Raw genomic sequence first — 27,078 nt, forward strand, 5'->3', positions numbered from 1 at the left:
GTGAAGGACTTCTTCAAGAACTACAAACCACTGCTCAATGAAATAAAAGAGGGCATAAAAAAATGGAAGAACATTCCATGCTCATGGGTAGGAAGAATCAATATCGTGAAAATGGCCATACTGCCCAAGGTAATTTATACATTCATTGCCATCCCCATCAAGCTACCAATGACCTTCTTCACAGAATTGGAAAAAACTACTTTAAAGTTCACATGGAACCAAAAAAGAGCCCGCATTGCCAAGTCAATCCTAAGCCAAAAGAACAAAGCTGGAGGCATCACACTACCTGACTTCAAACTATACTACAAGGCTACAGTAACCAAAACAGCATGGTACTGGTACCAAAAGAGAGATATAGACCAATGGAACAGAACAGAGCCCTCAGAAATAATGCCACATATCTACAACTATCTGATCTTTGACAAACCTGACAAAAACAAGAAATGGGGAAAGGATTCTTTATTTAATAAATGGTGCTGGGAAAACTGGCTAGCCATAAGTAGAAAGCTGAATCTGGATGCCTTCCTTATACCTTATACAAAAATTAATTCAAGATGGATTAAAGACTTAAATGTTAGACCTAAAACCATAAAAACCCTAGAAGAAAACCTAGGCAATACCATTCAGGACATAGGCATGGGCAAGGACTTCATGTCTAAAACACCAAAAGTAATGGCAACAAAAGCCAAAATTGACAAATGGGATCTAATTAAACTAAAGAGCTTCTGCACAGCAAAAGAAACTACCATCAGAGTGAACAGGCAACCTACAGAATGAGAGAAAATTTTTGCAATCTTCCCATCTGACAAAGGGCTAATATCCAGAATCTACAATGAACTCAAACAAATTTACAAGAAAAAAACAAACAACCCCATCAAAAAGTGGGCAAAGAATATGAACAGACACTTCTCAAAAGAAGACATTTATGCAGCCAAAAGACACATGAAAAAATGCTCATCATCACTGGCCATCAGAGTAATGCAAATCAAAACCACAATGAGATACCATCTTACACCAGTTAGAATGGCGATCATTACAAAGTCAGGAAACAACAGGTACTGGAGAGGATGTGGAGAAATAGGAACACTTTTACACTGTTGGTGGGACTGTAAACTAGTTCAACCATTGTGGAAGTCAGTGTGGCGATTCCTCAGGGATCTAGAACTAGAAATACCATTTGACCCAGCCATCCTATTGCTGGGTATATACCCAAAGGAATATAAACCATGCTGCTATAAAGACACATTCACATGTATGTTTACTGCGGCACTATTCACAACAGCAAAGACTTGGAACCAACCCAAATGTCCATCAATGATAGACTAGATTAAGAAAATGTGGCACATATACACTATGGAATACTATGCAGCCATAAAAAAGGATGAGTTCATGTCCTTTGTAGGGACATGGAAGAAGCTGGAAACCATCATTCTCAGCAAACTATCGCAAGGACAAAAAACCAAACACCACATGTTCTCACTCATAGGTGGGAATTGGAACAATGAAAACACATCGACACAGGAAGGGGAACATCACACACCGGGGCCTGTTGTGGGGTAGGGGGAGAGGGGAGGGATAGCATTAGGAGATATACCTAATGTTAAATGATGAGTTAGTGGGTGCAGTACACCAACATGGCACATGTATACATACGTAACAAACCTGCATGTTGTGCACATGTACTCTAAAACTTAAAGTATAATTAAAAAAAAGAAAAAGACTTGCAAATTGTTGATTAAAAAAAAAAAGCTTAACTAAAAGACAAGCGTATAAGGTCTTCCACAGAACCACATGCCACTTTTTAAAAATTATCCTTTATGTTTCTGGCCACCTTTGGTCTTTGTACCTGACACCTGGCATTCTCTCCCAGCTCTGTATATGGCTGGAATAGACTCAGTTCATGTATCACCTCCTTATAGAACCTTTCCCTATATACTTTAATCAGCTACCTCTACCTTCCTCCTCCCTCCAACCCCATTACTCTGCCCATTTTCTTCATAGCATTTAGCATAATCTGTAATTAACGTTATTTGTTTACTTAATGTCTGTCTTTTCTACTGGAATCTGTACTTTACAGGGACAGGCACTGTATCCCAAGTGACAGGCATATAGCAGGCATCCAATCATCTGTTGATTTTGAGCACCTTCAGCACTGACAGTGTTATTTCTGGCCATAACAAAACCTGAGATTTCTGTTTTCTAAGTTAAACTTTATAATTTTACTTGGAAAACTAAATACCAAATGGAAGTTAAATACCTTCTTCAAATATCGTCCAGAAATTTTTGACAAGTAGATGTTGTCCCAGATGCATGAATTAGTAACACTAACCTTGCCAAGGTTTGATATAAGAGACTGAATGATTTGGCAATTTTGTTGTCTTTTTTTCGGTCAGGCAATCTTCTACTGAGATAATTGTTCATTTCAAAGCTGTATCATACAGTGATATACAGCAGATATTTTAAACAACAATTAGGGACACAAATCCAATTAATATTTCAACCCCACATGGTGCCGCTAATACCAACTAACTGAATAAAAGAATACATAAAGTTAAATTCTAGAAATACCAAGTATAGATGACTACTACTACTTCACAATTTACTTGGCTGGTCGCTGAAAAGTTTCTTCAGACAAGTCACACCTCAATTTCTAAAAATATCAAAATGTGAAAAAAAAATGTGTCTTAAAAGTGAGGAAATAGGCTGGGCACAGTGGCTCACGCCTGTAATCCCAGCACTTTGGGAGGCCGAGGTGGGCAGATCACAAGGTCAGGAGATCGAGACCATCCTGGCCAACACGGTGAAACCCCGTCTCTACTAAAAATACAAACAATTAGCCAGGCGTGGTGGTGGATGCCTGTAATCCCAGCTACTTGGGAGGCTGGGGCAGAGAATTGCTTGAACCCAGGAGGCAGAGGTTGCAGTGAGCCGAGACCGCGCCACTGCACTCTAGCCTGGCGACAGAGTGAGACTCTGTCTCAAAAAAAAAAAAAAAGTGAGGAAATAAATTACTAGCGAGCCTATTAAGTATAAACATGGTACCAGGTGTTTCCTATATTTTATCTGATTTAACAACAGGTGGCACAATGTAGTGGTGTACAGCAGCAGTTCTCAGCTTTTTTTGGCCTCAGAATTTCTTTCATTAAAAAAGTTCATTTATTAATTCATTTGAAAATAAGCCTATTACATGTTAACATTTTAAGGTGAAAATTATGTTCTTCTAAAACAAAAACAAATTGAGAATAGCATTTTGTTGTTATTGCTTTTGTTTTTTTTTTTTTGTGAATCTCATAATTTTTTTTTGTTTGTTCATTTTTTTGAGACAAAGTCTCTGTTGCCCAGGCTGGAGTGCAGTGGCAAAATCTCAGCTCACTGCAACCTCCACCTCCCAGATTCAAGCAATTCTGCCTCAGCCTCCGAGTAGCTGGGATCACAGGCATGCACCACCATATCCGGCTAATTTTTTTATTTTTAGTACAGATGGGGTTTCACCATGTTGGCCAGGCTGGTCTCGGACTCCTGACCTCAAGTGATCCACCTGCCTCAGCCTCCCAAAACGCTGTGATTACAGGCGTGAGCCACTGTGCCCAGCCTCATAATTGCTTCTGCATTCAATCTGTTGCAGAAAAACCTCACTGTATATTTATGACAGAATGACAGTGAAGATGGCAAATACTGTCTTTATATTAATATGAAAAATAGTTTTGACCTTATGGACCCCCTTAAAGGATCCTGAGGATCACATTTTGATCACAAACCCTGGAGCAAGGTTGCCTAAGGTTAAGGTCACTTACTAGCTATGTTTAAACCCTTGTACCCTCTTACTAGCTATACTCAAACCCGCTGTCCCTCATTTCAAAACTGGGAATAGCGGTACCTACTTCATATAGTTTTTGTATACTTAGAACAGTTCTTATCACAAGATAAACATTACATAAGTGTTTGCTATAAGCATTATATAATCTCCATGATACTATGTCCTATGAAGTAGCTTGTTATTCTCATCTAATAGATAAGAAAATTAAAGTGTAAATGGGTGTGTGACCTATACAAGGTAACACAGTTTAAGTGGCAGAACTCAGATTTGAATCTAATGCCATAATTTTGAAATCTATGATTGAAAAAGGCACTATGCAATCTGGTCCCTGTCTTATGGTTCATACTACTCTCCCCACAGCTTTCTATGTTCTGGCCATACTCTCCTTTGAGTTTCTCTACAGCTTTACGTGCACCTTAACTCCAGCACATCTGTGCAGGCTGTTCCAGCCTAGAATGCTGTCCTGCTCCTGCTACTTAAGTGGCTGGCTCCTTCTGATCTTGTAAGTCTCAGCAGCCTTTCTGAACCACTTTATGTAAATAGCAGCTCTTCTTCCATTCCCCAGTATTTTCCATTCCAACACAAGATTTATTTCCTGCCTAGAACTTCGGGGTTTGTAACTTCTTTATCAGACCTCATTACTTACTAATTGTCCATCTCCCCACTGGATTGTAAATTCCAAGAGAACAGGGTACATTTTTGCATTGCTCACTACTATGCATTCAAAGCTAACAAAGATACTATGATTTCTGGATGTAAGACGGGTACTTAAAAAACATATATATAGTCAATGAACCATACTGTTTATATGTCCTCAGACAACTCATTTAAACCCTTTGGGCTTCAGTTTCCTACAATGATTAGTTATTTTCCAACTCTAAAATCCTAAAAATATATTTTAGTACCTTCATTTGAAAAATAGAATAGTCTCTCTCCCCCTCCCCCTCCCCTTTGCACGGTCCTCCTCTCCCCTTTGCACAGTCTCCCTCTGATGCCGAGCCGAGGCTGGACTGTACTGCCGCCATCTCGGCTCACTGCAGCCTCCCTGCCTGATTCTCCTGCCTCAGACTGCCAAGTGCCTGGGATTGCAGGCACATGCCGCCACACCTGACTGGTTTTCGTATTTTTTGGTGGAGACAGGGTTTCGCCGTGTTGGCCGGGCTGGTCTCCAGCTCCTGACCGCGAGTGGTCTGCCAGCCTCGGCCTCCCGAGGTGCCGGGATTGCAGACGGAGTCTCGCTCACTCAATGCTCAATGTTGCCCAGGCTGGAGTGCAGTGGCGTGATCTCGGATCGCTACAACCTACACCTCCCAGCCGCCTGCCTTGGCCTCCCAAAGTGCTGAGATTGCAGCCTCTGCCCGGCCGCCACCCCATCTAGGAAGTGAGGAGCGTCTCTGCCCGGCCGCCCATCATCTGGGATGTGGGGAGCACCTCTGCCCCACCGCCCCGTCTGAGATGTGAAGAGTGCCTCTGCCCCGCCGCGACCCCGTCTGGGAACTGAGGAGTGTCTCTGCCCCGCCGCCACCCCGTCTGGGAGGTGAGGAGCGTCTCTGACCAGCCGCCCCGTCTGAGAAGTGAGGAGCCCATCCGCCCAGCAGCCGCCCCGTCTGGGGGAGCCCCTCCGCCTGGCAGCCGCCCCATCCGGGAAGTGAGGAGCGTCTCCGCCCGGCAGCCGCCCAGTCCGGGAGCTGGGGGGCAGCCCCCGCCCGGCCAGCCGCCCCGTCCGGGAGGTGGGGGGCAGCCCCCGCCCGCCGCCCCGTCTGGGAGGTGGGGGGCGCCTCTGCCCAGCCACCCAGTCTGGGAAGTGGGGAGCCCCTCTGCCCGGCCGCCACCCCGTCTGGGAGGTGGGGGGGCCCCTCTGCCCGGCCGCCCCGTCTGGGAAGTGAGGAGCCCCTCTGCCCGGCCGCCACCCCGTCTGGGAGGTGTACCCAACAGCTCATTGAGAATGGGCCATGATGACAATGGCGGTTTTGTGGAATAGAAAAGGGGGAAATGTGGGGAAAAGAGAGATCAGACTGTTATTGTGTCTGTGTAGAAAGAAGTAGACATAGGAGACTCCATTTCGTTCTGTACTAGGAAAAATTCTTCTGCCTTGGGATGCTGTTAATCTATAACCTTACCCCCAACCCCGTGCTCTCTGAAACATGAGCTGTGTCCACTAAGGGTTAAATGGATTAAGGGCGGTGCAAGTTGTGCTTTGTTAAACAGATGCTTGAAGGCAGAATACTCCTTAAGAGTCATCACCACTCCCTAATCTCAACTACCCAGGGACACAAACACTGCGGAAGGTGGCAGGGCCCTCTGCCTAGGAAAACCAGAGACCTTTGTTCACATGTTTATCTGCTGACCTTCCCTCCACTATTGTCCTATGACCCTGCCAAATCCTCCTCTCCGAGAAACACCCAAGAATGATCAATAAATACTAAAAAAAAAAAAAAAAAGAAAGAAAAATAGAATAGTACTGGTTACAGAGAAATTCTGTAAACATATATTTTCTTTTTTTCTTTTTTTTTTTTTTGAGACAGAGTCTCACTCTGTTGCCTAGGCTAGAGTGCAGTGGCGTGATCTCAGCTCACTGCAAGCTCCGTCTCCCAGGTTCACGCCATTCTCCTGCCTCAGCCTCCCGAGTACCTGGGACTACAGGCGCCTGCCACCATGCCTGGCTAATTTTTTGTATTTTTAGTAGAGACAGGGATTCACTGTGCTAGCCAGGATGGTCTCGATCTCCTGACCTCGTGATCCACCCGCCTCAGCCTCCCAAAGTGCTGGGATTACAGGTGTGAGCCACCGCGCCTGGCCAAACATGTATTTTCTAACCAGGCACAGCACTCTTAGTACATAGAGATATCTACAGAGCACAGCTACAAATAGACTGCAAGCTATCTTTTATTTTTTGAGATGGGGTCTCGCTATCTTGCCCCAGCTGGTCTTGAACTCCTGGGCTCAAACAATCCTCCCACCTCAGCCTCCTGAATAGCTGAGATTACAGCATACGCTACAGTGCCTGGACTTGCAACCTTTCTGTTTATCTAACCATAAAATATAAAATTCTGAAGATCATTTCTCCTACTGTATATTACATCACCTGGTAAAAACTATACTTAAAAGAACTCAAGCTGATATTCCAGCATGCAGCTTAATTCAGATCCATACTGCCTTAGTTCCAGAATGTATAACAAAGAGGCTATCACAGAAAATGACTATCTTTATGATAACTATGACAATGATGACCTTTTTATTATTAATAGTATTACCATTATTTAGAGATGAGTTCTTGCTACATTGCCCAGGCTGGTTTTGAACTCCTGGCCCCAAGCAATCCTCCCGCCTTGGGATTAGAGCTAGGATTACAAGTGTGCACCACTGTACCAGAGATGGTAATGGCAACCTTTATTAGCAAGCCCTAACTACAACATAATGAACAAAATAATAAGCTGCTGGAATGTGATCTGAAGAAGGTAAAGAACTACTTGCAGGGAAGAAAACTCACAGTTTTTGTCCAAGCTCTCTAAGTACAATAATATGTGTCCTTGGGAAAGCTACTTAAGTAATCTCTGTCTTCAAATTCCTTACTTATAAAATGAGAATAATGCATGTCGCTATGACAAAGGTTTATTTTTAAAGATCTGATAAATCAACACACGTAAGGTCTTACTTAGAACAGTGACTGTACAACATAAGTCTTCAATGGATGCTTGCTACTATTATTATTATAGAAATATTATCAATATAATTATTTAATGGTTTGAACAATTTAGGAGGCATTTTTTTCCTTTATAGTACAGAGATTATTCATCCATTCTTTCAACTAATATGCACTGTGAATACCAATTACATGCTAGGTACCAAGTAAAATGTTAAAGATACAACAGTGAGCAAAACTAACTGTGGTAAGTGCTCTCAAAGGTTTCTTGTGGATCAAAATTATGGGATAAACCAAGCTATACAATTATCAGGACAACATATGAAATAGCCAGTGATGGTTTTGCTACTGCTAATTTTCAAACTTGACCAACAACTATGAAGATATTTCAAGGTGTAAGTCTAAAACTTAGGCATTTAAGACATACTATTAGTATAATTACCAAATTTCCTAAGGCAAAGCCCAGAGCTGCACTGACTAAAATAGGAAGCTACTTGTGGCTAGAGTCTCCTATATTGGACGGCACAGATATAGAATATAGCCATCATCAAAGAAGTTCTATTGGACAGCATCGATCTAGATGTAGCCGGATAATGCAATTATGCTGAGTAAATTCAATTCTTCAATAAAGTTTAGATAACAGAAAGGTTTTTAAAAAACACATTTATAAAAGGGAAAAACTTTCAAAATAGAATTCAAAGGCAATAATTAAGATGTCATTATGTTAGGTAAAACTGCTCAATAAATAGAAGCTATCCAGCAAAGATTACCAAAAATGCTAACATGTCTAATGATATAGAAAATTTATTCTTTATCCTTTAAAAAGTTAAAGTCTTAATTTTACCTGTATTAAGATCAGTTTTCTAAAGGAGGAGGTGGCACAGGAATTCGGCAGAGTTCAAGTGGGGAATTCATTTGTTAAGAGTTAAATATTTTCCAATTCTATAAAAAATAAAAATAGAAAACTGAAATATTGAGGTAATATTCTCAAGAATGTAATACAAAGAACAGTTTTGATAGGCATTTACAATATAGCTTATCTAATTTTAAGAAATAATTATAGATCCAAAACATTTCTGTAATAACTAGCATACTTGTATACCTTTATCAAACCTAATTAAAAAGCATTATTTTGAAGACAGAAAGTCTGAATTTTAATTTCAAATTTGCCATTAATTATCTATAAGACCTTGAGTAGATTACTTAAATTATCTGGAGCCTCACTTGCATTATTTGTAAAATTAAGTCCCTTCCAGACAAAAATTCTATGACTCTTTTGAAACATGTTACAGTGATTTTTCTTTCTCTCTCTCTCATACACAGACACACAAACACACAATCATTTTAAAAATACCCTCATTAAAATCGTAATATGCAGTATAAAACCAAGCTTAAATAATAAGTATCATAAGCTACAAAATTATTTTGGATGGGTTTCACATAACTGAAAAACTTATCTTTTTTAGAAAAGAACACAAAAAATGCTCTTACTGAATTTTTGGCAGAAAAACACATTAAAAGATTTTGTCAGAATCATTTTCAAATTGCTAAAATGGAGACTTTTCTTAGAAAGTAATAACTATTTTCATGTGTTTGCTGACTACATTATGCTCTACCTTTCTTTGATACAAAGAATACTGTGATAAAATTCTCTTAGAATTATTTTAACTGAAGATGTGTCAGGACCCCCTACTCCACCACAGCAGCTGACACTTTATCTCATACACTGGGCTTTCACATGTGAGTTTTGTTTTATGAGAAGGTTCTGCAGTGGGGGGGAAGAACTTGAAAAGGGCTAAGGGAGTATCTCTGGAAAGACACAAAAGAGACTGGTAGTACTTTGAGAAGGGGCACTTGATATCATGGAAATAGGGTGGGAAAGACTCTCTTTTTGTACCTTGGGAATTTTGAACCACAACCACCAAGATGACTGCCAAATTTTTGAAGCAGTCTATAGGCAGAATGGCTATGTGGGGAATCTCTACAGAGACAAATCTCCCACAGACTTCAGGGCCAAGGAGATAGATACTCAGTAGACTCTCAGTTTAAAAAGTGACAAAGAAAAAGGCCAAATGACAAGAACAATGAGTTTATTAAACTTTAAGACAACCCTAAAATAGCTCAATCCCTGTCTGGTTGAAGGTAATTAGGTCCTTACCAATTTGTGCAACAGAGAAAAATGTGATCCCTACTGGGAACACTGCATAGCACCTCTATGGTTCTTTCATATACAAAGTCTGGCACACAATTTAAAAATTACTAAAAATACAAAGGGATAAAAAAAGTGACCAATAATTAAGAGAAAACTAGACAAGAGAATCAGACTCACAGATAATTGTAAAATGAAGTTAACACACAAGGACAATTATTTAAAGTAATCCTGATTAATAGAAAATAGAAGGGGAAATGTACAAAACTGCTGAAGATGCAACATTTCACTAATGGATTAGGAACTACAAAAATAATTAAATAAGCACTCTAGAACCGAAAAATACAATATGTGAAATTAAGAACTCAATATAGAGCCCTCTCAGTGCAGCCGGCAGCACATCAGTCTCATAATCTGAAGAATTTAATATATTGGTCTTAGAGCAAATGAGACACAGCAGAATACAGGATGAGTAAACTAGAAGACAAATCAATAAAAAAATACCCAAACTGAAGCATAAAGGGAAAAGAATGGAAGAGAGAGGAAGGGGAAAGGGAAAGTAGTGAAAGGAGGAGAGGGAGAGGTTTAAGAGAAATGTGATGCACACTCACAATGTCTAATGTGTGTGTGTGTGTCACAGTTCTCATATATATATATATATATATACACACACACATATAAAACAGAAGTCCTAGAAAAGTAGATAAATTGATAAATGCAATATTCTAAGAAAGAATAACTGGGAGTTTTCAAAAACTGATGACAGAAATCAATCTAGAAATTCAGAACGCTCTGCCAACACCAAGCAGGACATATTAAAAGAAAATTCTACCCAGGATGCCGTAAACTAGAGAAGGAAGGGAAGAAGTAAGGATGGAGAAAAAAATCATAAAAAAGCAGCCATAGGAAAAAAAAAAGAGTTGCTCTTCAAAAAACAGTAAGACTCACAAATTTCTCAACAGAAACAACAGAAGCCAAAATATAATAGAATAACACTGTTAAAGGGCCAAAGAGAAAATAACTGCTAATCTAGAATACTATGCCCAGCAAAACTATCCTTCAAAAATAAAGGTGAAATTTTAAAATTTGCAAAAAAAAAAAAAAAAAAAATCTCACCTTCAAGCCTGTACTAAAAGAAACTTAAAAGGAATTATTCAGACAGAAGGAAATTATCCTAAATCATAAACATGGAAATGTAGGAAGAAATAAACAATATCATCCGCTCAGTTCTGGGGCATAAAAAATATATATATCGGGGTAAACAGTATAAGGAAATGTTAATAGTGACAGTTCAAAACAGTAACTGAAATGCCTTATAAGGTTTAAAGGTTCTAAGATTTTAGCAGTTGTGTGACACTAGTAATAGTAATAGTTTGTATTATACTGTAAAAAGTTAAAGAAGGAAGTTGTAATTTCTAGGATAACCATTACAACAAAATTATATACATATATCAAACAAGTTAGAAGGAAAATATAATATTTAATCTAAAAGCAGGCAAGAAATAGGAAAAAAAACCAGATGGGACAAATAGCAAATGACAGTAAGATTATACATATAAACCCAACTATATTAATAATTATATTACAGTATATAGACCAAGCTTGTCCAACTCACAGCCCAGGGAGGGCTTTGAATATGGCCCGACACAAATTTGTAAACTTTCTTAAAACATGATGAGATTTTTTTTTTGCAATTTTTTTTGCAATTTTTTTTTTTTTTTAAGCTCATCAGCTATCATTCGTGTTAGTGTATTTTATGTATGGCCCAAGACAATTCTTCTGCTTCCAGTATGACCCAGGGAAGCCAAAAGAGTAGATACCCCGATGTAGAAAAAATTCTTCTAGTAAAAGACGAATTTTGTCAGACTGGATTAAACAAGAAGCACAGTCCTTAAAAAAGACACACTAATTTCAGAGAAAGATTTAGAATTTATGGCAAGGATGATTATTAGAGATTAAAGTAATATTAATGAAGGGATCAATCCAACAGGAAGGTACCACAATCATAAACTTATATGTACCCAGTAACCTCAAAATACATAAAGCAGCAGGGCATGGCGGCTCAAGCCTATGATTACAGCATTTTGGGAGGCTTGAGCTCAGGAGTTCAAGACCAGTCTGGGCAACATGGCGAAACCCATTATCTACAAAACAAACAAACAAACAAACAAAAAAACAACAACCAGGGTGTGGTGGTGTGTGCCTGTAGTCCCAGCTACTTGGGAGGCTGGGAGGATCACTTGAGCCCAGGAGGTCAAGGCTGCAGTAGGCCATGATCATACCACTGCACTCCCACCTTGGCAACTGAGTAAGACTCTGTCTTAAAAAAAAAAAAAAAGAAAACAAAAACATAAAGCAAAAATTTGCAGAATTAAAAGGAGAAAAAGATAAAGCCATAATAATAGTTGGAGACCCACATCTCTCTCAGCAAATTGACAGAAAAAGCAACCAAAAATCAGTAAGATCTGAATGGTGCAATTAACAACCAACCAAAATGACTAATACAGAACACTGTAACTAGCAACTACACAATTTGAATTCTTTTCTTTTTTCTTTTCTTTTTTTTTGAGACGGAGTCTCGCTCTATCGCCCAGGCTGGAGTGCACTGGCGCGATCTTGGCTCACTGCAACCTCCGCCTCCCGGGGTTCAAAAGATTCTCCTGCCTCAGCCCCCCGAGTAGCTGGGAATACAGGCGCGTGCCACCACCCCGGTTTTTTTTTTTTTTTAATTTTTAGTAGAGACGGGGTTTCACCACGTTGGCCAGGGTGGTCTCGATCCTCTGACCTCGTGATCCACCCGCCTTGGCCTTCCAAAGTGCTGAGATTACAGGCGTAAGCCACCGCACCTGGCAAAAATTTGAATTCTTTTCAAAGACTCCCTGCATAGTCAGCCACAAGAGAAGTTTCAACATACTTCAAAAAAGATGATGGCATGCAAAGTATGGTTTCTAACCACAACAAAAATAAGCTACAAATCATTAACAACAATAACAAAAATAATAAAGAAAAACCTAGAAAAACACCAACTACCTGGAAAATTAAAATTACATTTCTTTTTTATTTTTTAAATTTAAAATTAAATAGAGATAGCGTCTCACCATATTGCCCAGGCAGGTCTTGAACTCCTGGGCTCAGGCAATCCTCCTGCCTCAGCCTGCCAAAGTGCTGGGATTACAGGCGTGAGCCACTGCACCTGGCCTAAAACTACATTCCTAAATTATCTATAGGTCAAAGAAGAAATCTCTACAAAAAATAAAAAAAATAAGCTGGGTGTGGTGACACACACCTGTGGTCCCAGCTACTCAAGAGCCTGTGAGGTGGGAGGATTGCTTGAGCCCACGAGTTTAAGGCTGTAGTGAGCCATAACTGTGCCACAACACTCTAGCCTGGGCAACAGAGTGACACCCTGTCTCAAAAAAAAAAAAAATTCCCCCCAAAACAAACAAAAAAAACCATGTCAGTATAAAACGGACACATTTCTTAAAAAATATAAATTAAATTACTAATGCTGAAAGAAACAGAATATCCAAATAGCCCCAAAGCAAATAAAGAAATGGAATGTATTATTAAAAATCTTTCCTTAAAGAAAATCTCAAGTAAAGATGGTTTCACTAGTGAATTCTTTCAATTACGGGAGAAACCACACCAAGCTTATTAAAGTCTTCCAGAGAACAGAAAATAATAAATATGCTGAGGAGGGAGAATCTCTTGAACCCAGTAGGCAGAGGTTACAGTGGGCCGAGATCACGCCACTGCACTCCAGCCTGGGTGACACAGCAAGACCCTGTCTCAAAAAAAGAAAAAAAAAAAAAAAGGAATAAAGACTTCCTATTTTTAAGAACCATTATAATAGCCAGACACAGTGGCTCATGTCTATAATCCCAGTACTTTGGGAGGCTGAGGCAGGCAGATCACTTAAGGTCAGGAGTTCGAGACCAGCCTGGCCAAACATGGTGAAACCCCGTCTCTACTAAAAATATAAAAATTAGCCAGGTGTGGTGGTGGGTGCCTGTAATCCCAGCTGTTTGGGAGGCTGAGGCAGGAGAATCGCTTGAACCCAGGAGGCGGAGGTTGCAGTGAGCTGAGATCGCACCACTGCACTCCAGCCTGGGGGGACAGAGCAAGACTCCGTCTCAAAACAAACAAACAAACAAACAAACCCAGTATAGCTATAACAAAAATTAACACAGACATTACAAGGAAGGAAAATCACACACTAATTTCTCTTATGAACACAGAGGCAAAAATATCAATGAATTAGCAAATTAAATCTAGTACTATATATAAAGAATACCATATATAAAAAGGAATTTACTCCAGGCATATAACGGCAGTTCAGGAGAAAATTCATGTGATCATCCAAATAGGTACAGGAAAAGCATGACACATTCAATATTCAGTTATGATATAACCTATTGAAAAATTCATAAAGAATATCCGTAAAAAGCCTATAGCAAGTATCACAATGGTAAAATATTGAAAACTTTACCCTCTGAGGTTGAAAACAAGACAGAGATGACCATTATCACCACTTCTATTCAACATTGTACTGGAAGGCCTAGCTAGTACAGTAAAGCAAGAAAAACAAAAAGAATAAGGACTGGAAAGGAAGAAATGCTATTACTCACAGATGATATAATTATACACCAAGAAAACCCAAAAGACTCTATAGATTATTAAAATAAGTGAATTTATCTAAGTTTCTGAATATAAGGTTAATATACAAAAAATCAATTGTTTCTATAAACCAGCCACAAATTTTTAAAAATGCATCTTACAACAGCATTAAAAAATAAGACTAGAAATAAATCTAACAAAAGATGTATAAGACCTCTACAATGAAAACAAGAAAACATTTTCGAGAGAAAATAAAGATGGTGTAAATAAAGCGGAGGATATACCATGTTCATGAGTTGGGAAGACTCATAAAGATGTCAGTTCTCCCTCAATTAATCACTACCTTGGTATTAAGCATATGTATTGCCTAATCTGTCATTGTGTGGGGTGGGGGCAGGAAAACTGTAAGGTCCTGGCACAAAAACCAGCCCAAAACTGAGATTGTACCAAGACCATAGAGAACACCCCAATCCTCAATCATGAGCCTAATACTAAGGAAGGAGAAAAGTGTGAGGAGAGAAGGGCCTTCTATTTCTCAACAAGATGGAGTGACAGAAAGTGAATTTACCTTCTTGCCTGAATTTAAGACATGGAAGAGGGCCCGATGTGGTGGCTCATGCCTGTAATCCTAGCACTTTTGGAGGGCAAGGCGGGTGGACCACTTGAACTCAGGAGTTCGAGGCTAACTTGTGCGACATAGTGAAACCCCATCCCTATTAAAAATACAAAAACTAGCCCAGTGCAGTGGTACGCACCTGTAGTGCCAGCTATTCAGGAGGCAGAGGCAGGAGAATCACTTGAGCCCAGGAGGCGAGGCTGCAGTGAGCCGAGATCACGCCACTGCACTCCAGCCTGGGCAACAGGAGGGGGGGAAGAAAAAAACACGGAAGAAAATATGAAACAAAGGCAGGTCACAGTGGCTCACGCTTGTTATCCCAGCACTCTGGGAGGCCAAGGCAGGAGGACTGCTTGAGCCCAAGAGTTTGAGACCACCTTGGCCAACACCGTGAGACCTCGTCTCTGCAAAAAAAATTTTAAAAATTAGCCGGGCATGGTGGCACAAGCCTGTAGTCCCAGCTACTCAGGAGGCTGAGGTGGGAAGATCACTTGAACCTGGGAGGTTGAGGCTGCAGTGAGCCGTGACTGTGCCACTGCACTGCAGCCTAGACAAGAGTGAGACTCTGTCTCAAAAGAAAAAGAAAAAAGAAAGAAAGAAAGTACATGAAACACAGTTTTCATTACACTGGGCACAGACAGTAAAGAACAATGAAGTTGCCTCAACTTCCTTCCTCAAGACTTTCCAGGCTGCAGGGTAAGGAAGAGAAAGGCAAGTGAAACCTGGTAGACTCTCTGAGTTAAGGAGGCAGAGCTAAGAGTACAGGTAGACCAAAGTGTTAGAGGACAGCGTAATGTGGAGAGCTGTACTGAAAACGAACTCTGAAGATCTGCAAAGGATCCCTCTCTAGTAGTCAAACGAAAACTGATCAGCACACTGTGTGTGTGAGGAAACTACCAGAAGCCAGGAAAAGAAGCACCAGAAAGATTAGAGGTAGCAGTGTCCAGAACTTACACAGGGCCAGAAATAGTGCCGCTTCTCACCAATTCCATTGAGGATGGGGTCAAGTACACATAAGAGTTCTTCCTAAGTAATGGGGACTTACTACCCCTACAGTGAACACAGATCCAGTACTATCTATTAAATCTTAAAATTTTTTTTTTTTTGAGACGGAATTTCGCTCTTGTCAACCAGGCTGGAGCACAATGGCGCAATCTCCAGTCACTGCAACCTCCGCCTCCTGGGTTCAAGTGATTCTCCAGCCTCGGCCTCTCAAGTAGCTGGGATTATAGGTGCCCACCACCACGCCCAGCTAATTTTTGTATTTTTAGTAGAAGCGGGGTTTCACCATATTGGCCAGGCTGGTCTCGAACTCCTGAACTCAGGTGATCTGTAAAATCAAAATCTGGAACTATTTTCAAATAAATGTAACTGCATCCCAGAGCAGAGCTCAAAAACATTTATAGGAATGCGAAACTATCCCACGTAATGCAAAGGTTTGAAAAGTGCTTGCATACTGGAGCTTGCCCTTCTTTCTACTTTTAAAATCTAGCAGCCATGTGAAGAAGCCAAAGCTAGCCTAATGAATAGACATAGGCCAGCCAACAGCCAGCACTACCCAACAAATGTGTGAGTGAAGCCATCTTAAATAACAGTCCCAATCAAATGACATGAGTAATCTCAGGGAAGATCAGAAAAAGAACTGCCCAAGCCGGGCGTGGTGGCTCACACCTGTAATCCCAGCACTTTGGGAGGCTGAGGCGGGTGGATCACGAGGTCAGGAGATCAAGACCATCCTGGCTAACATGGTGAAACCCTGTCTCTACTAAAAATACAAAAAATTCGCCGGGCATGGTGGCGAGCACCTGTAATCCCAGCTACTTGGGAGGCTGAAGTAGGAGAATCGTTTGAACCCAGGAGGCAGAGGTTGCAGTGAGCTGAGATTGCACCACTGTACTTGATCCTGGATGACAGAGCGAGACTCCATCTCAAAAACAAACAAACAAACCTTACCTCAAAAACAAACAAACAAAAAACCCAGAAAAGAAAAGCTGGGGAATGAGATGTCCATAAAAGACTCTGAAAAGCTCCAACAACTTCCTGGGAATCCAGAAGGTCATATTTATGCAAAGGGATGTGTACCCAGTGCTATACGCATGCTCAGGAATAATCGGAGAAGCCCTTAAAATCTCATTAGGGGCTAATCTGAGGCTGTGCACACAACTCATTACTGGAGAATTAATGGCATCTTTTCCAATTCTACTGGGAGAGGATTCTTGCAAGCTTGAGCTTGGTTTCTTCCAGACTTCATTCCATATGCCTTTCGCTTTGCTGATTTTGCCTTGTATCATCTCATTGCAATAAACTATAACTGTGAATAAAATGACTTGAGTCCTGAGAGTCAATCTTGGAAATCATGAAATGTGGGAATGGTCTTGAGGGACCCTCTACAAAGCTCCTAAGCCCTTTTGACATAAACCTAGTAAATGAAGATAACCTCCTAGCTTCCTGCTAGGACAAGAAGTTCCAGACTTACCTTCTACAAATCCTGCCTTAGGCCTAGAACCAGACATTTCTCCAAGGAACCCCTTTTAGTAGGAAATAATATTTTAAAGACTACATTCTGGGTGCTAAAGCTTGGGCATATCTTAAGTACAATTTACTCCCATTTAGTGACATAGGGGTGGAGGGAGGAAAGGATCCATTCCTTGTATTTCAAGTAAAAAAAAAATTTTCCCCCATAAAAAGTAGTATCCAACACCAAAGAACCTAAAAACATATTGGATATATAACCTATTTAGGTATGTAGGCACAAAATTAAAGTCAAAAATAAATTCCAAGAAAACATGTCGAATTTTTTTAATTTTAATTTTCAGAGATGAGTTCTTGCTGTGTTGCCCAGGCTGGTCTTAAACTCTGGGCATCAAGCAATCCTCCTGACTTGGCCTCCCAAAGTGCTGGGATTACAGGCATGAGCCACTGTACCTAGCCTATGTTGAATTTTAGAATAAACCTTTCAAATACTGAATAAATAAATGTTTAAAGCGGTTGGTATTCAAAGAGTTGAGTCAAGAAATGCAGTGTCTGGATTTCGTGGCATTTTTAACCTCTAAAAGTATTCCTTACTTAGTTAACTGACACAGTTCATAATAAGTTCTTCCTAAAGGCAAAAATATTTGAAATATTGGCATCTTTTTTTCTTTTGTGTTTTTTCCTCAATTTTTTTTATTGTGGTAAAAAAATTTACCATCTTAACCATTTTTAATGTACATTTCAGTAGTATTAAATACATTCATAATGTTGTCCAACCATCACCATACTCTTTTCATCTTGTAAAACTAAAACTCACGGTGAGCCGAGATCGCACCATTGCACTACAGCCTGGGCAACAAGAGCGAAATTCCATCTCGAAAAAAAAAAAAAAAACAAACACTAAAATTCTAGGCTAGGCGTAGGGGCTCACACCTGTAATCCCAGCACTTTGGGAGGCCGAGGAAGCCAAATCATTTGAGCCCAGGAGTTTGAGACCAGCCTGGGCAACATGGCAAAACCCTGTCTCAATAAAAAATACAAAAATTAACAGGCCATGGTAGTGAGCACCTATAGTTCCAGCTACTCCAGGGACTGAGGTGAGAGGATCACTTAAGCCCAGAGTTTGAGGTTACATTGAGCTACAATCATGCCACTGCACCCCAGCATGGGTGACAGAGTGAAACCCTGTCTCTAAAAATAAAAACATAAAAATAAAAATGAAGGACAAGTTATCATAGCTCAGCCTGCCACCACCACTTAGAAAGAAGCACAATGCTGGGAGCAGTGGCTTATGCCTGTAATCCTAGCTACTCGGGTGGCTGATGTGGGAGGATCATTTGAGGCCAGTAGTTCAAGACCAGCTTGGGCAACATAGAAAGACCCTATCTCTAAAATAAAAATAGCTGGGCACGGTGGCTCACACCTGTAATCCCAGCACTTTGGGAGGCCGAGGCGGGTGGATCACAAGGTCAGGAGATCGAGACCATCCTGGCTAACACGGTGAAACCCCGTCTCTACTAAAAATACAAAAAATTAGCCGGGGTGGTGGCAGGCGCCTGTAGCCTGTAGTCCCAGCTACTCAGGAGGCTGAGGCAGGAGAATGGCATGAACCTGGGAGGTGGAGCTTGCAGTGAGCCGAGATGGCGCCACTGCACTCCAACCTGGGCAAGAGTGCGAGACTCCGTCTCAAAAAAAAAAATAAATAAAATAAAATAAAATGAAGCACTGTGCACAGTGGAACTCTTTAAATTCTAGAAATAACATAAACCATATTTAGTGTGATGCTCTGCCCATTTCCTGAATAATTCATTAATAGCTGCCAGTTTTAAATGGGGCCTAGGACATGAGAAGGCAAGAGGTCAAGGTAGCAGTATAAGATGCTCTGCCAGCCGGGCGCAGTGGCTTACGCCTGTAATCCTAGCACTTTGCGAGGCTGAGGCAGACGGATCACCTGAGGTTGGGAGTTCGAGACCAGCCTGACCAACATGAAGAAACCCCATCTCTACTAAAAATACAAAATTAGCCAGGCGTGGTGGTGCATGCCTATAATCCCAGCTACTCCGGAGGCTGAGGCAGGAGAATTGCTTGAACCCGGGAGGCGGAGGTTGCGGTGAGCAAAGATCATGCCATTGCACTCCAGCCTGGGTAACAAGAGTGAAACTCCATCTCAAAAAAAAAAAAAAAAAAAGATGCTCTGCCATTTGGGCCTTAATATCCAGCAAATTCGGTGGTATTCAAAGCGTCTGTGGTAGATGATAAAGTAGCTGTATAAAGCTACCAGTAGGCCCTGCTAGAAGAATCACAACACAGACCACCAGGCACTTAAGTCCATCTAAAGCAGGATTTCTTAACCTTGGCACTATTGGCATTTTGGTCACCCTTGACATTGTGAAAGGCTGTCTTTTACATGGTAGGATGTTTAGCAGCATCCCTGCCCTCTTCCTATTACATGCCAATAGCAATGCCCTGAATTGGACCAACAAAATGTCTCTAAACATTGTCAAGTGTGCCCCTGCATGAGAACTACTGCTTCTGAAGAGAGCTATGCCCTCTCTGCAGATGATTGCTCTTCTTTTGAGAAATAGCTCCTTGCTTGGCTTTTGAGCACCAGCAGAGACTGACCATGTGACCTGACATACTTTCAAGAAGTGAGTGTTCCGATCCTCCAAGCCATAAAGCTATATGTGCTGGCAGCATTCCATGATGAAATGGAAGTGATAGTGTGTCAGATATGAACTTTCAAGGGAACAAGGGAGGACTATATTTGTCTATCCTCTTTAAGTCAAATGTGACCTTATGACTTTCTTTGACCAAAGAGCAGAAATCATTTCTGTAGAAACATTTATGTGCCAGTATGCAATTCTCCAGCCTGTTCTTCTCGTCACTATGATAATAGAAGCAGAGATAAATATAGATATGCAATGCTGACCCATCAAATGAAGAACAGCTGCCTGGAATCACCCAGCTTGCACCAGATTTTACATGAGAGGAAACAAATCTCTCTTTTTCAAATTTTAAGCCTTTATTTGAAGGTTGGTTGTTACCACTACATAACCAAGTAATCCTGACTACAATGGTTGTAATGAGGTTAGAGCAGGCTCCAAAAGCACAAATAAGCTAGAAGAACAAATGGCTGAGACACCCATGGCACTTACTTCTACTAATCAACTCTTCCTTAATCTATGGCCTTGTAGAGTTCCCTAAGATCAAAGGAAAGAAGGAAAAAAAAAAACTTAGGCCTGGTTTATACATGGTTGCATACAGTCTGCTGGCATTGACCTTACAGAGAAGTAGCCCTACAGGACAGGAGAAAGGGAACTCCCAGTAGGCAAAACTTCAAACAGTATCTCGTTGTTCACTATACCTGAAGAGACCAAAGATATGGATCTATCGGTTTGGCTAAATGGCCTTTGTAACCAGTATTTGCTCAACAGGCACGTGAACAAAATGGTCTTGTCAGCAAGAATAGAAATTATACCCTGGCTCAACACAGACTTCCCCTCACCAATGCTGATCTACAATTTCACAATATGCCAGGCTGTCTCACACCTCACACATTTTCTTATGCTACATTCCTCTCTGGAATGCCTTTCAACTACCCTCTATCCTAACTACCCTCCCCTTCTTCCAACACTCAGACCAACAGTTGCCTCCTCTATGAATCTTTTCCATAGCATACAACCCTGCATCAATTCAAAGCCCTCTCCTTCCTCTTCACACAGAAGTTCTCAACATAGCGTCCACAGACCCCCAGGGATCTATAATAAAACTCATAAACTTTGATAAGAAGAAAATTGTATCACTTTTTACCAATCTCTAACTAACATTTATAATGTCATTAGATTGTGAGTATAGGCAAAACAATAAAACAACCAGCCATAATATTTTTGTGATTTGGTCACCAATAGAAATCACAGGTATTAGGCCCAGCACAGCGGCTCACGCCTGTAATCCCAGCACTTTGGGAAGCCAAGGCGGGTGGATCGCTTGAGGTCAGGAGACCAGCCTGGCCAACATGGTGAAACCCCGTCTCTACTAAAAATACAAAATTAGCCAGGCATCGTGGCGCATGCCTGTAGTCCCAGCTACCCAGGAAGGTGAAGCATGAGAATCACCTGAACCTGGGAGGTGGAGGTTGCAGTAATCCAAGATTGCACCATTGGCCTCCAGCCTGGGAAACAGGGCCAGACCCCATCTCAAGAAAAAAAAAGAAATCACAGAAATTTTCATATCGAATTACATTTGTTTCTTATCACTATGTCATGACACTTTTCTCTGGTCAGAGAGCTTCCATTCTACCCTGGATAAAAATGTTTCCAATCTCATCTCCATATATTTAGCTAAACATTTTTCTGGGTGTTTCCATATGAGATTAACATTTAAATCTATAGACTGAGTAAAGCAGACTGCCTTTCCTAATGTGGTGGATGTCATTTAATCAGTGGAAAGCCTGAACAGACAAAAAGGCTAAGCCTCCCCCAAGTAGAGAGTCAGTTCCTCCTGCCTAAGGACATTGGCTTTCTCCAGCCTTCAAACTCAAACTGAAACATTAGCTCTTCAGAGTCTCAAGCCTGAGTGACTGCTACTATGTTATCTCTGGTTCTCAGGACTTTGGACTGTGTCTGACTGGAACTATACAGTCAGGTCTCCTGAGTCTCCAGCTTGCCAACTACCCTGCAGATCTCGGGACTTGTCAGCCTCCTAAATTGTGTAAGCCAATTCCTATAATAAACCTTATAATAAATCACACACAACCTTATTGGTTCTGTTTCTCTGGAAAACCCTGATGAATATAGTTCCTGACTTGTTCAGAATGACCTAAGGATATATGCAGAATCCATCTCTTATACCTCTCAGAACAGGAATCCAAGTTATAGATGGGAATGCCTGGCCCTGGTATCAGGCATTCCATTACCATGTCTTCTTCAGTAGAACAGGGGCATATAAGTGAGATTGGTGGCTAGGCAGATACCCAACCAAAGAGCAAATGTAAATCTCTCTTCTTAATGACAGAGAGTGACTCTTTCAGGACCTCCTTATCTTGACTTTTGGGAAGGAAAAAACCCTTTCCTTTCCCCTCACAGAGCAGGGAATAGTTTCTTTCCATTAATACTCCCCTTCCAAAGAAGGCCTCTCCCCTTCTCCCTCTTAAGCCTCATAAATTGATGGGGTGGGCAGAATCATAGTCACAACAGCCCATAGTACTCAACATCTTATGTTGTCAAAGACCTGTGTGCAGGTTGAAGAGCCCTCTTATTGACTGGGTGCAGTGGCTCATGCCTGTAATCCTCGCACTTTGGGAGGCCGAGGCGGGTGGATCACCTGAGGTCAAAAGTTGAAGACCAGCCTGGCCAACATGGTGAAACCCCGTCTCTACTAAAAATACAAAAATTAGCCAGCGTAGTGGCACATGCCTGTAATCCCAGCTACTTGGGAGGCTGAGGTGGAGAATCACTTGAACCCGGGAGGCGGAGGTTGCAGTGAGCCGAGATTGCGCCACTGCTCTCCAGCCTAGGCAACAACAGCAAAACTCTGTCTAAAAAAAAAGCGGGGGGGGGGGGGTTCTTCTTACTAAACCACAACTTTTCTGGGGCAGGGAGTATGCCTCACTTGCATTTGCATTTCCGGTTCTTAACAGGACCTAGTACATAGTTAGCACTTAATTCATGTCTATTGAATGAAGAGCTTAACAGCACTACTAGGCGGTCAGCAGCAGATACAGTATAGAAGATAAGGAGCAAGTATGTCAAAGATTACTAGTTTCCATCCAATATAGATCCTTACTCCACTCTCACTAATCTAGTTTGTATGACCAGCTAAAAGCCATTTCTGAACCTTACCTGTAGCTAAGTATAGCCAAATGACTATGTTTCAGTCAATGAGATCAGAAGAAGTGTTGTGTAGGAAATTCTAGAGAGGTTTTTTTAAAAGATGAGAGATATAGCCCTTTTGTCTATGCCTTTCTTCCTCCTTTCTTCTGCCTAGAACATAAATGTGATGGCTGGAGGTCCAGCAACCATTAGGTAATCTTGAAAGTAGAAGACACATGCTAAAGATGGCGAAAGAAGAAGACAGAAGCAGCCTGTGCCCTTGACAACTCCACAGAGTTGCCATATAGGCCCTAGATCTCCTACGTCTGAATTTTTTTTACCAAATTAACTACTTTAAGCAATGGTTATTTCTTATCTCTGTTTCCGGCAGCCAAACACAATTCCTAACTGATAAAGCAAAAAAGAGACTCCAGCAACAAATTTGTATTCTAAAACACCAACAGCCATCTCAGCTATGCCTCAACTTAATGTTCATAAAGTATAAGATATTTCTACTGAAATGGGAGGGGTAGAGTAGGAAGCAAGACTGAAAAAAGAGATTCTACTCTTGGAGAGTACAACATATGGATGGATGTTTAGAGTACTTTAGTACACTAACAAATTTCATACTACAGTACTGTAATTTTTTGCCAACAGTTGGTAGTTATGTTCTAAAAAGGCAATGTGGCTTACAAAACTGTAACTGGAAAAGCCAAATTACATGAAAATAATGGGTTAAGAAAATAAATAGTTTATCAAAAAAAAAAAGGAACATTTTAATGGAAGATGTTCAACTAGCTGTTTAAAACTTGTTCAAATTAAAAAAAAAAAAAGTTGGCTGGGTGTGGTGGTGGCTCATGCCCGTAATCCCAGCACTTTGGGAGGCCAAGGTGGGTGGATCACCTGAGGTCAGGAGTTCGAAACCAGCCTAACATAGTGAAACCCTGTCTCTACTAAATACTAATAATTAGCCAAGCATGGTGGCACATGCCTTTAACCCCAGCTACTTGGGAGGCTGAGGCAGAAGAATCGCTTGAACCCGGGAGGTGGAGGTTGCAGTAAGCAGAGACTGCAGCATTGCACTCCAGCCTGGGAGAGCGAAACTCCATCTGAAAAAAAAAATAAAATAAAATAGTTGACTCTTCTACAGATTAACCTCCTTCAAGTTTTAAAAAAACACTGCTGTAGCACAACAATCATAATCAATTAAGGCTGATTTTCCTGCATATTATACAGACTTTTCTATTTATACTTCATAAATACTTTGAACCAGTTCTTCCTGGCTGCCACTTGAAGTCTTTCATACTTATAGTTTTTTTTTTTTTATTTTTATTGAATAAGAAAATTTTTAAATTTTTAAATTTAAAATTTAATTCAGAAAAATCTTTTCACAAATTATTTTACTGACTGTCATTTTTTAGACTGTTTTTCATTCTTAAAGAAAACGGAAAATAAACTGATCTCTCTGTGGCCTACCCAACAGACTTGCATAAAACAGTACACATTCTGGCCAGGTGCAGTGGCTTACACCTGTAATCACAGCACTTTGGGAGGCCAAGGCAGGCAGATCACTTGAGCCCAGAAGTTTGAGACCAGCCTGAGCAACAAAGCAAGACTTCGTCTCTATAAAAAGGACAAAATCAACTGGGCATGGTGGTGCATGCCTGTGGTCCCAAATACTTGGGAGGCTGAGGAGGGAGGACTGCTTGAGCCTGGGAGGTCGAGGCTGCAGTGAACCACGATCACACAACTGCACTCCAGTCTGAGCAACAAAGCAAGACCCTGTCTCAAAAAATTATAAAATAAAGTAAAAGCACATATTGTAATATTATGGAATACAAATACAAAGGTATACTATCTTTAATAAAAGATCAACTGGCAAAACTGGTGGGAGGAAATTACTATATTATAATAGAAATCTGGCCAGACATGGTGGCTCCAGCCTGTAATCCTGGCACTTTGGGAGGCTGAAAAGGGTGGATCACTTGAGGTCAGGAATTCAAGACCAGCCTGGCCAACATATCCTGTCTCTATTAAAAATACAAAAATGAGGCCGGGCGCGGTGGCTCACACCTGTAATCCCAGCACTTTGGGAGGCCGAGGCAGGCAGATCACAAGGTCAGGAGATCGAGAGCATCCTGGCTAACATGGTGAAACCCCGTCTTTAATAAAAATACAAAAAATTAGCCAGGCGTGGTGGTGGCGGGCACCTGTAGTCCCAGCTACTTGGGAGGCTGAGGCAGGAGTATGGCATGAACCTGGGAGGCAGAGCTTGCAGTGAGCTGAGATCGCGCCACTGCACTCCAGCCTGGGCAACAGAGCGAGACTCTGTCTCACAAAAAAAAAAAAAACATTAGCCAGGAGTGGTAGCAAGCGCCTGTAATCCCAGCTACTCAAGAGGCAGAGATGGGAGGATCATTTGAGTTCAGGAGGTTGAGGCTGCAGTGAGCTATAATCGCACCACTGCACTCCAGCCTGGGCAACAGAGTGAGACCCTGTCTCCAAAAATAATAATAATTATTAAATATATTAATTAGATTTATATATATAATATATATAAACATATATATACGGCAACTGTTGAAATGGTCCTAGTGAGAGGCCTACTGAGAGGTTAGAGGCCTGAACAACTACTACTGCTGCTGCTGCTGCTATTACTATTAATAGCAGCTAACATTTATTATGCATCAAGTACTATAATAAAAATCTTCTCCTTTCTGCCCGTGGACGCCGCCGAAGAAGCATCGTTAAAGTCTCTCTTCACCCTGCCGTCATGTCTAAGTCAGAGTCTCCTAAAGAGCCCGAACAGCTGAGGAAGCTCTTCATTGGAGGGTTGAGCTTTGAAACAACCGATGAGAGCCTGAGGAGCCATTTTGAGCAACGGGGAACGCTCACAGACTGTGTGGTAATGAGAGATCCAAACACCAAGTGCTCCACGGGCTTTGGGTTTGTCACATATGCCACTGTGAAGGAGGTGGAGGCAGCTATGAATGCAAGGCCACAGAAGGTGGATGGAAGAGTCGTGGAACCAAAGAGAGCTGTCTCGAGAGAAGATTCTCAAAGACCAGGTGCCCACTTAACTGTGAAAAAGATATTTGTTGGTGGCATTAAAGAAGACACTGAAGAACATCACCTAAGAGATTATTTTGAACAGTATGGAAAAATTGAAGTGATTGAAATCATGACTGACCGAGGCAGTGGGAAGAAAAGGGGCTTTGCCTTTGTAACCTTTGATGACCATGACTCCGTGGATAAGATTGTCATTCAGAAATACCACACTGTGAATGGCCACAACTGTGAAGTTAGAAAAGCCCTGTCAAAGCAAGAGATGACTAGTGCTTCATCTAGCCAAAGAGGTCGAAGTGGTTCTGGAAACTTTGGTGGTGGTCGTGGAGGTGGTTTCAGTGGGAATGACAACTTTGGTCATGGAAGAAACTTCAGTGGTCATGGTGGCTTTGGTGGCAGCCGTGGTGGTGGTGGATATGATGGCAGTGGGGATGGCTATAATGGATTTGGTAATGATGGAAGCCATTTTGGAGGTGGTGGAAGCTACAATGATTTTGGCAATTACAAAAATCAGTCTTCAAATTTTGGACCCGTGAAGGGAGGAAATTTTGGAGGCAGAAGCTCTGGCCCCTATGGCGGTGGAGGCCAATACTTTGCAAAACCACGAAACTAAGGTGGCTATGGCGGTTCCAGCAGTAGCAGTAGCTATGGCAGTGGCAGAAGATTTTAATTAGGAAACAAAGCTTAGCAGGAGAGGAGAGCCAGAGAAGTGACAGGGAAGCTACAGGTTACAACAGATTTGTGAACTCAGCCAAGCACAGTGGTGGCAGGGCCTAGCTGCTACAAAGAAGACATGTTTTAGACAAATACTCATGTGTATGGGCAAAAAACTCGAGGACTGTATTTGTGACTAATTGTATAACAGGTTATTTTAGTTTCTGTTCTGTG

At 41.3% G+C, this 27,078-nt stretch overlaps 1 protein-coding gene and 1 pseudogene across 20 annotated transcripts in view, besides 2 other annotated features; one reads left to right on the plus strand and one right to left on the minus strand.

Moving 5' to 3' along the window:
* The window catches only part of HYCC2 (hyccin PI4KA lipid kinase complex subunit 2), a 97,954-nt gene that overhangs the window by 63,474 nt on the left and 7,402 nt on the right, over window positions 1-27,078 (minus strand). For 8 of the 20 annotated variants that reach the window (NM_173822.5, NM_001321623.1, NM_001321629.1 and 5 more), the window contains exon 2: window positions 8,305-8,402. The exons of 4 other annotated variants lie outside the window; for them this stretch is intronic. The gene's annotated coding sequence lies outside the window, so the exon portion shown is untranslated. Of the gene's footprint in view, window positions 1-8,304; window positions 8,403-12,707; window positions 13,419-14,981; window positions 15,079-15,796; window positions 17,648-24,115; window positions 24,234-27,078 lie in introns of those variants that run through there. 8 more of the 20 variants (XM_047444003.1, XM_047444002.1, NM_001321622.2 and 5 more) reach the window with 5 other exon arrangements.
* Window positions 5,477-5,988: an enhancer, noted in NCBI's record as "NANOG-H3K27ac hESC enhancer chr2:201907391-201907902 (GRCh37/hg19 assembly coordinates)". NCBI's record gives its function as "activates a minimal SCP1, AML or CMV promoter by ChIP-STARR-seq in naive H9 embryonic stem cells {active_cell/tissue: H9 hESC(naive)}" and the evidence as "EXISTENCE:reporter gene assay evidence [ECO:0000049][PMID:30033119]".
* Window positions 5,989-6,501: an enhancer, noted in NCBI's record as "NANOG-H3K27ac hESC enhancer chr2:201907903-201908415 (GRCh37/hg19 assembly coordinates)". NCBI's record gives its function as "activates a minimal SCP1, AML or CMV promoter by ChIP-STARR-seq in naive H9 embryonic stem cells {active_cell/tissue: H9 hESC(naive)}" and the evidence as "EXISTENCE:reporter gene assay evidence [ECO:0000049][PMID:30033119]".
* HNRNPA1P35 (heterogeneous nuclear ribonucleoprotein A1 pseudogene 35) lies at window positions 25,835-27,057 on the plus strand (annotated as a pseudogene).

Source organism: Homo sapiens, chromosome 2 (assembly GCF_000001405.40).
Source record: "Homo sapiens chromosome 2, GRCh38.p14 Primary Assembly".
Taxonomy (NCBI): Eukaryota; Metazoa; Chordata; class Mammalia; order Primates; family Hominidae; genus Homo; species Homo sapiens.